This window comes from Homo sapiens, chromosome 3, assembly GCF_000001405.40.
Source record: "Homo sapiens chromosome 3, GRCh38.p14 Primary Assembly".
Lineage (NCBI taxonomy): Eukaryota > Metazoa > Chordata > Mammalia > Primates > Hominidae > Homo > Homo sapiens.
In genome coordinates this window covers 187,747,642-187,757,410 of record NC_000003.12, presented here as the reverse complement: position 1 = coordinate 187,757,410, position 9,769 = coordinate 187,747,642, and positions in this window count along the sequence as shown.

Below are 9,769 nucleotides of genomic sequence, written 5' to 3'. Positions count from 1 at the left end.
TGGGTACCAAACACAAGAAGCTATCAAAATCAGGATCCAGGCTCTCCAATGAGAGGGCTGACAAAAGTTAAGCAGGAGTAGAGGCCTGCAGTCCAATACAGGGCTCTAGTCTCACTGGGGGAATGAGCATTCTTGCAGTAAGGCTCCGGTCCAAAGGCTGAGACAACATGGTGATGATGGTGTAGAGAAAGCTGAGGTTCTGTTGTGTCTTCCTGTTTGCAGATCTTCCTGCATTAGGTGTTGGTTGCCAATCAATGGTATGTTGACGTGGCTGGGTTATCCGTCATTCCAATAAATACTAGATGAACCACTCAAAGTGGCTGAAACTGCACAGGGAAGGACTCAATGCCTCACCCTGATGGGGGATTGGGGTCAGGGAACAGCCTCTGAGAAGGGGCTATAGAGTTTTACTGGGAGCAGAGTCCGGACATTTGGAGGCCAATCATGGCTCAAGGACTATCTTTTGCAAAACCTAAAGCAAGTTTCAGAACCTTTCTGGGCTGTTGTTTCCTCAGTAGACTATGTGCCCTGTGGAGTCAGGGGCCCGTATTTTATTCGTATTTGTTTCACTAGCATCTAGCACAGTGTCTACCTCACAAGCAGCAGTCAGTGAAATGCATGTTGTTTGAACGAGTGAATGTGAGAGTGAAGACAGTGACCTGAGCATGCAGAATCCCATCAGCAGTTGAAGGGAGAAGGGCCTTATCAGGCCCATATGCTTCTTACCCTCGCCCTTAGATTCTTTTGCCCTCTCCTCTCCTCTCCTCTCTTCTCCTCTCCTCTCTTCCCCTCCCCTTCTCTCTTCTCTCCTCCCCTCTCCTCTTCTTTTCTTTTCCTTTCTTTTCTTTCTTTTTCTTTTTTTTGCTCACACTTTTCTTTTACCATAGCCTTTAGATTCTGATGCCTACCTTTATGCCCTTCTTTAAGACCAGAGACCCAATGAATGGGTCTTCTTATCAGCTCTGTGATTGATTCTCTGATGAAAAAAACATTGAGATAGTTCACTTGAAATTTTTTTCCTCAGCATTCACTGACCAAACATTATAAAAATGTTAAAAAGTCACTTATAGACCCCAAAAAGTTCTATCTACAAGGAGAGCTCATGAGTGGCCTCATATAATAACCAGGAAAACCTTTAACATTTGCAAATGCCATGAAACACCAAAAAACAAGATAATCACAGTATGATAAAGGGTGCAAGACCTACAGAGTCTACTGCATCTCATTATGGTCAATGTGTTCAGAAAGAGTGACATTTTGTTGGCATGGAGACAAATGTCTCCTAAAGTGAAAGGTCTTCTCCAAGCGTGTGTGGATACTTTCGACTTTTGCTGTAGTCCCTAAACATGTAGGTGGCTTCAACTTTAAGTCAGATATTCAAACCTGTGAATAACGGGACTAATTGTTTGCATTTAAAAGGCTTCAATTACGGCTTTTTATTTCTTGAGTGTGTGTTTGTGGGATAGATAGATAGATAGATAGATAGATAGACAGATCGATAGATAGATAATAGATATTAAGCATTTTGGAAGATAAAAAAAGAATAAAGCCGAGAAAAGCGTTCATAATCCTACTACTGTAAGAGAGCTACTGTAAATATTTTTGTCAATTGTGTACTATTATTTACATCCAGTCTATTTTCTACAAAGAATATATTTTTAAAAATTGCTGTGAATATACTGTATACAAATATTATATAGATATATAATATGCATATATCTCTATATACATATTCTACTTCTTTCCACTTTACATATTACCATAAGTATCTTTCAATTCTAATTTTTCGAAATTAGTTGTATTGTAATTTACTTAATCATTCTTCATCCAACATTCTTTCTTCCAGCCTAGTCATGATAGGACATGTAGGTTGTTCAAATTTTTTGTTGTTAGAATACAGCGCTAGGATGCATATACTCATTCACTGATTTTTCCTGTATGTTGAATTATGCATTAAAGATAGATTCCTAGAAGTGGAATCTCTGGGTCAAAGGGTCTGCTTATATTTATGATTCTTGGTATATGTGGCCAATATATCTGAAAAAGTCATACTAATCAACACAGTAGGACCTAGTCTCACTGCACTTCACCAAGAGTTATTTAAATGTTGGCTTTCACAGTGAATATAAGTGTTAGTTCAAAGATCTTATAACTACTTGGCAGAGAGGCCAATAGATGTCAGAAAACATGAAGGGAAGAAGAGAAGAGACACTTAAAACTCAAGTGCAGCATTAGAAGTAAAAGCCATTGATAACTGACAATTGGTTAGAAATTAAAAAAGCATCTTTGAAGTCATAATGTACATCAATACAATAACAGGCCTCAGTTTACCAAAGTGGATACTGCAACAAAATAAATGATTCGGGGTGAACTGGTGATGGGAATCAGCTCTGCCACCAATTTGCTAAGTGGTGTTTGCAAATTGCTTTCCTCTCTGGACCTTTCTCAACTGTAGAACTGGTAAGCCGAAAGATGAAGATAGATGCTTTCAGAATTTAGAGAATTGGGTTGTACTCAGATAATGCAGACAAACTCATAGGGTTAAGGGGTCTGATAGGAGCTTCTCCTCTGTAGACACCGAGACTCATAACTCTGATGAGATCCACAGTTCTATTGGAGTTGTGCAATGAAATAGCAGACACTCTTGGAATCTCTTGGGGCTCCCCCAACTTCATGAATGAATCTCTAAGTTCTGCATGCCCCATATAAACTGATGACAAGATCTTTGAGAGCACTGTTTCCTTAGTGGGTTTCCACAGAGAAATTTTGAATATGGGGGTCCACGAAGTGGCTTGAGCCATCTACCCCAACAACAACATTTGGCCTTTGGTGCCTCTCTAGTATTCTCCTGATGGTTATGCAGATGGTGGCATACAGAAATGGAGTAAATTAGTAAACTAAAAGAATAAATGAGGTGCCCCATTTCTCTGACTCTATTCTAGGAAAATGAGTGAGAAGCAGGATCTCCCAGATTTCAGGAGAGATCTGGGTCACTTTTTGGAGGTTTCTGGTATTGAAAATTATATATATATATCCTCCAGCTGTATATATATATATATATATATATATATATATATATATATATATAACATCTCTATATGATATACGTATCTATCTATACCTCTATAGATATCTATAGATATCTATCTATATCTCTATATGATATATAGAGATATAGATATCTCCTCCAGGTAATAGACTTAATTTTTAAGAACATGTTTCAATTCACAGAAAAATTGAGCAGATGGTACAGAGAATAACCCTGTGCCCAGTTTCCCCTATGATTAACATAATACATTATATGGTACACGTGTAACAGTGAAACAATATCGGTACATTATTATTCACTAAAGTTCATCATTGATTCAGATTTGTCTAGGTTGATCTTATGTCTTTTTGTGGCCAATTATTCCATCTAAGATTCGACATTATATTAAGTTGTCATGTCTCCTTAGGCTAATCCTTGCCTGTGACAATTTCTCAGACTTTCCTTGTTTCTGATGACCTTGATGGGCTTGAGGATTACTGGTTTTTTGTAGGACGCCCCTCTACTAGAATTTGTCTGATGTTTTTCTTATGATTAGACTAGTATTATGAGAGCAGGACCACAGAGAGAAAGAACAATTTTCACCACATCCTATCAAGAGTATATACTATCAAGATGATTTATCATTGTTGATGTTGGTCTTAATCCCCTGGCTAAGAGAGTGTTTGTCAGGCTTCTCCTAAGCTATTTTCCCCTGACTACCTTTCCATACGGAATATACTCCCCGGGAAGAAGTTACTATCTATAGCCCACAATTAAAGAGTGTGGGTTTCTGTTTCTCCTCCTTAAGGCCGGCACATGTCTATAAATTATTTGGAATCCCTGTGCACATCTATATAAATAAATTTGGAATTACGGGATGTTTGTCTTTTCTCTCTGGTTTATTAATTTACTTAATAATTTATTTATAATAGTATGGACTCATTACTTTTTTTTTTTTTTTTTTTTTGAGAAGGAGCCTCACTCTGTTGCCCAGGCTGGAGTGCAGTGGCACAATCTTGGCTCACTGAACCTCCGCCTCCCGGGTTCAATGGATTCTCCTGTCTCAGCCTCCCGAGTAGCTGGGATTACAGGCATACGACACCATGCCCAGCTAATTTCTGTATTTTTAGTAGAGACAGGGTTTCACCATGTTGGCCAGGCTGGTCTTGAACTCCTGACCTCAAGTGATCTGCCCACCTCGGCCTCCCAAAGTGCTGGGATTACAGGTGTAAGCCACTGCACCCAGCCCTGGACTCATTAATATTTATTTTATACTTTGGGTTATAATGTAAAACACTATTCTATTTTGTTGCTCAAATTGTTGCAGCTTTGGCCACTGGGAGCTCTTCAAGTGGCTCCTGTGTCTTTTTGAAATATCCCTCACCAATGTAGTTTTGTTTTTGAATAATTCCTTACTTTAAGGTGCTACAAGATCTTTCATTCTCATTTGTGTATTTCCTGCCCCAGTTTTAGAACTCAACAATTTCTCCAAGAAGCCTTGGTTCCAGCTGCTGAGAAATGGCATTAAAACTGAGACCAGCCTGGCCAACATGGTGAAACCCTGTCTCTACTGAAAATACAAAAACTAGCCGGGCGTGGTGGTGCAGGGCTGTAATCCCAGCTACTCGGGAGGCTGAGGCAAGAGAATCGCTTGAACCCGGGAGGCGGAGGTTACAGTCGGCTGAGATCGCGCCACTGCACTCCAGCCTGGGCAACAGAGTGAGACTCTGTGTCAAAAACAAAAACAAACACAAAAACAAAACAAAACTGAGCTCTGAGCACCAGGTGTGCTTGTTGCTACGACAAATATATTTCAAACCTTATATTTTTAACACCAGCACCCACACAACTACAATACAATTGCACTATTCATAAAACAATTATAGATTATTAACAACATTCAATCATGGTGTCATAGGAGCCTGTGGTCCTACACTGGATCCCACACACAAAACTTGCATATGATGGTCATCTTCTTTCAGTCCTGTTAGGATTGAAAGAGAGATGTATAGCCTCAGTGGAGATAATATCAAAAGTCTAATTTTATTTATTTATTTCTTTCTTTATTTTGAGACAGGGTCTTACTCTGTGGCCCAGGCTGGAGTGGTGCCATCATAGCTCACTGCAGCCTCAAATTCCTGGGTTCAAGAAATCCTCCTGCCTCAGCCTCCCAAGTGGCTAGCACTACAAGTATGTGCCATCATGCCTGGCTATTTTTTTTTTCTTCCGTTTTTTTAGAGACAGGGTCTACGTTGCCCAAGCTGGTCTTGAATCCCTGGTCTCAAGTGATCTTCCCACCTCAGCCTCACAAAGTATTGGGACTACAGTTGTGAGTCATTGTGTCTGGCCCAAAAGTCCAAATTTGAGGCCTTCTTTGGATGTGTGGCCACAATAAATGGCTCTTGCAAGGCTGCCAACCCCTTACACTCTTTCCATAATATGCCATAAGAAAAGCATACTGGATTTAGAAATAGGGCATGAAAGTTCTGAATCCAGCTGTGTTAGTGTTATAGCATATATAGCAAGTGGATTGTGTCTGGGCCTCAATTTCCAATGATACAAAATCAGGAACATCAGATTGGATAATGGCTAAAGGCCCTCCCAGTTCTAGCACACTATAATTTTCAACAGACTTACACTGGGGGAATACAATTGGCTCCACTAGTCTTTGTATACAGGCCTAATATTCCAGAAAGTCTAAACCAGTGGAGGCATGGGGGTGCGGAGGTCGCGGCTAATAAATCAGAGTCATTTTATTATTTTTTGGGAATGCCAAGACCTGTTAAAGGCTTTAGATAGTCTAGACAATCGGGCCTGAGAAACTTTAGACCTTTCTTTTTAAAGAATGAAGATCAAAAAAGTATAAAAAATATTGATGGAAAGTATCTCTTTCATTGGTTTCATGTTCTGATAGATCAAGACTTCTTCCTCTTTTTTTTTTTTTTCCTTTAGTAAGGGAAAACTCCTCATCTGCTTTTTCCTCTGACTTCAAATAATTACCTTTAATGCAGTGATGGCTGAGCCACCTCTAAGTTTCTTACCAGGAATCTCTCTCTAGGTTTTTATTTTTTTCTTTTTCTCTTCCTTCCTTCTCTCCTCTCTGCCTCCCTCTCTTATGCTCTCCCTCCCTCCCTTCCTTCCCTTGAATGTTATGATGTGTTTTTTACATCCATATACTACCCAGTGTACAAATGTCATCTCCTTCCTATCATTGATGGGGACAATTTGCAAAAACAAATAGAAGGAAAATAAAAAAGGAAATATAGGGCAGAAAAGACACTTGGGAACTGTCACATTTGATTATGAATGCTGGAGATCAAAGGTGCAAGGTCTTAGAACCTACTTCCTCCACCTCTTAACGTTTAAAATCTTCAATTGGCTTTTGAACCCACTCAGCAAAATCCCAGACTTTGGTCTACAATTGGTTAAAAATTGATAGAGTGAGGATTCTGGGACTGCCTTCTTTACTTAGAAGTTTACATTTTAACTCCTTCCCTAGCCCCAGGTACACATATACACACAGCTCCTTTCCACTCCTCTCGCACAGTTCTGTAAATATGTTTTGAAATGTAAAGGTACAGAACTAAGCGCAGACCGGCATCCCTCAAATCATCGGGGCTATTCCTTCACACAGCTGAGGAAACGGAGTCCTCACAAGTGGCTTTGCTCAATGTCCCATAAAGAGTTTCAGGCACAGCTGTAATTAGAAACCAAGGGTTTGTGTGTGTGTGCGCGCGTGTGTGTGTGTGTGTGTGTGTGTGTGTTTGCAACAAATACAGTGTTTTTTTTTTTCTCCCTACACTGTGCCCCCGTGGAGTCACATTTGTGTGTCTGTGTCTCTGTACGTACATAAGTTACACAGACACTGACATGTAGGAAACGTGCACCAAAGTGTCTGTCTTCTGACCTCAGGTAACAGTATAATGACTTGAATTTCAGGCAGCTGAAAGGTTTCTGCCGGTGGAGGTTGAAATAAACAAGAAAAGCCACTGTGGAGATGTGAATGGAAAAGTACCGAGCCCTCCCTCCCTCCGCACATTCTTCCGCTCTCCAGCTCTCCCTGCCATCGAGCTGGCTTCAGATAGGCTTCTGCATGGTCAGGTGTACAAGAGGGCGGTGGGGAGAAGAAAAAAAAAATGCAGGCACAACACGCAAATCAAGTTTTTCCACTTCTAGCCTTAGGTAGTAGAGACAGCTAAGTACAGCAGCCAGCAGCCCGGCAACGGCAGCGGGTGGACCAGCCACCCTGAGTTTACAAACACTCAAGTGCTTTCCTTCCCTCATCCCTCTCAGAGTCCAGCTGCTGCTTTCCTTCATGCTAAGGTTTCATAGGAAGTGAAAACTCTGCTATTCAAAACAGCGATCGAACGCAATAAACAAATCATTACACACCCCCTAACCCCCATCACTTCTCTATTTTAAGCTTCTGATATTTATTCCCATTTTAAATAAGTGAGAAAAGTGTGGAAAATTAGTGTTTGGGGGTAAACTCTGAGCCAGGCTGAAAAGGTTTCTAAAGGAAAAAAAAATCTCAGAACAATAAAGGCTAAAAGCAGGCAGCATATGGATGAAAATTAAACACTGATACTTCCTTTTCAGAAGGCAGTAGCTGGAAATTATACACTTTTTTAATGTCTCAAAACTTTCTGCTCATCTTGCTATGTTAAAAACGCCTTTCTTTCTCCAAGGATACTACAAAAAGCTTGTTTACAACAGTTCTAAATGAAGGATTTGAAATAAAACGAACAGGTAAAATTTAACAAGTCTGATAGATAGTGTCTCCCAAATCTATCAAAAGCAGTGCCAAGTACTTCAATGTAGCTGAGAGGCATAAATAAACCCAAATGACCATCAAAACTCATCATGACTTGGAGTTCGCTCTGAGTTTTGCAGTTTACAAAGAGACCATGGCAGCCTTGCTTCCCTCAGTTCTACAAGGACACAAGATATACACCTACAGACTCAAGTTGTCAGATTACACTGATCCTCTAAAATGACAGAGGGCCAGCAAATCATGCAGACCCATTTTCAGTTGTGTTCCTGGGGTCACACATGCTCCTAGTGAAGACCCAGCCTATAATCCTGAAAGAAGAAAGCCTAGAGAAGGTGATTGATTTGAAAAAGTCTTCCCAGTTTTAAAATCTTTAGTCCTATGATGTGGTATCTTAAAGACCTACCAAGGTGCCAGAGGTTCCTGACAGGTGAAACCAACTTCCTCTTGTGAGCCCCCTTAGAAAGAGGACAGAACCGTGTTTATTCCAAGGATAGGTTCTTTTTCAGCTATGACTGAATTGTGGGGAAGGTTTTGCAAGGGGGAATTGGATGTGAAGTCTGTTCTTTTCCTCAAATAGATGTAATATTAGGACCAGGCTATTTTATTTTGTAATAAAGCTTATATTTACCCAGCAGCAATGATCAGGGACCTATTCTTATGCCCAGTCCATGAGGCAAAGAGGTTGGCCTGGTCCTCTACTGAGTATTAGCAGCCAGTAACCATTAAATCATGGGACTAGTTGAAATGTAGTGCCCCGAAGTCTGCAGGAATTATTCATACGACCCCAGACATGGAATCACTCTTTAGAGCTTCTTAAGGATGATTTAAAAGAATCAGAATACGTTCAAGTCAGCCCTTTCTTTAATCCTGTAACACGGCACTGCGGGAGTGAGGGAGGCCCACATAGTGATGCCAACTGGATACTGAGGAGAGGTCAAGAATGAAAGAAGAAATGACATTCTGGAAGAAATTCAACTGGTATAATATTTGACAAAGTTACTTTCCTAGGAATTGAAAAGAGATTGAGAGGCGGGTGCACAATTTTCCTCACCATTCATTCAGTTCAAAGTAAAAGAGACTCACCGAAAAGTAAGTGCCTATCTTTAGAAAATTTTCAATAATGATTTTCTCTTTCTTTCTAACTGGTCTTCTGTTCTGGTCAATTTCTTTCAGTGTAAACACATTGATTTGGCAAAAAGCAGTAGGAAAATGTGGCACTCTGGCACTTGGTCCCAGAAATAATATGCTGGGAAGATTTGAGGTCCCTGGTGATGAGGTTAATTATATATGAACCAGCCCTGGTGGGTTCTCCCTCTAGGGGCTCACTGCAGAGAATTAAAGAGGGCTGAGGTATGAGAAGGGTGAATTCCTTCCCAGCCCCCACTCTGGCTGGTTCTACTACTGCCTTAGAGAGCAGATTTCCCTTTGCTCTGCAGCGCCCCCATGGGGCTAAGAGTGGAGTGGCAAAGGGAACACAGGAGGGACAAGCTGTGTTTCAGGTTGAGGGGGGCGGTGGATGAGGCTGAATGGCAGTTTTGACAAAGAAAAAAGTGACCAAAAATCATAAAAATAATCTTTTGAGGGCCCAATAGTAAGGCAGAGCCATACAATTCACATTCCAAACCATATAGATACGTCTGAGAAATCCTAAAGTGCTAATTGCTCATAAAAGAAAAAATTACACATATAAACACACAAAGAAAATCCCTTCCACAAAATCGGGGTGTCATTTTGCATCCAGCGGGATTCATTTTAATTTCTTTGAAAATGAGAAGGAAGGGGACTCAAATGAAAAAGCAGATAGTCTGCCTTCTGGCAGAATAAATCTGAACTTGACAATATCATGTGTCTTTGGGGGTAAAACGTACATTTCAACAACAGTGACAGGATTAGGCCTATGTATATTTTTCAAAAACCGTTCACAAGACAGGCTTTTCTGCAGAGGCTGCAGTAATCCATCTGTCAAT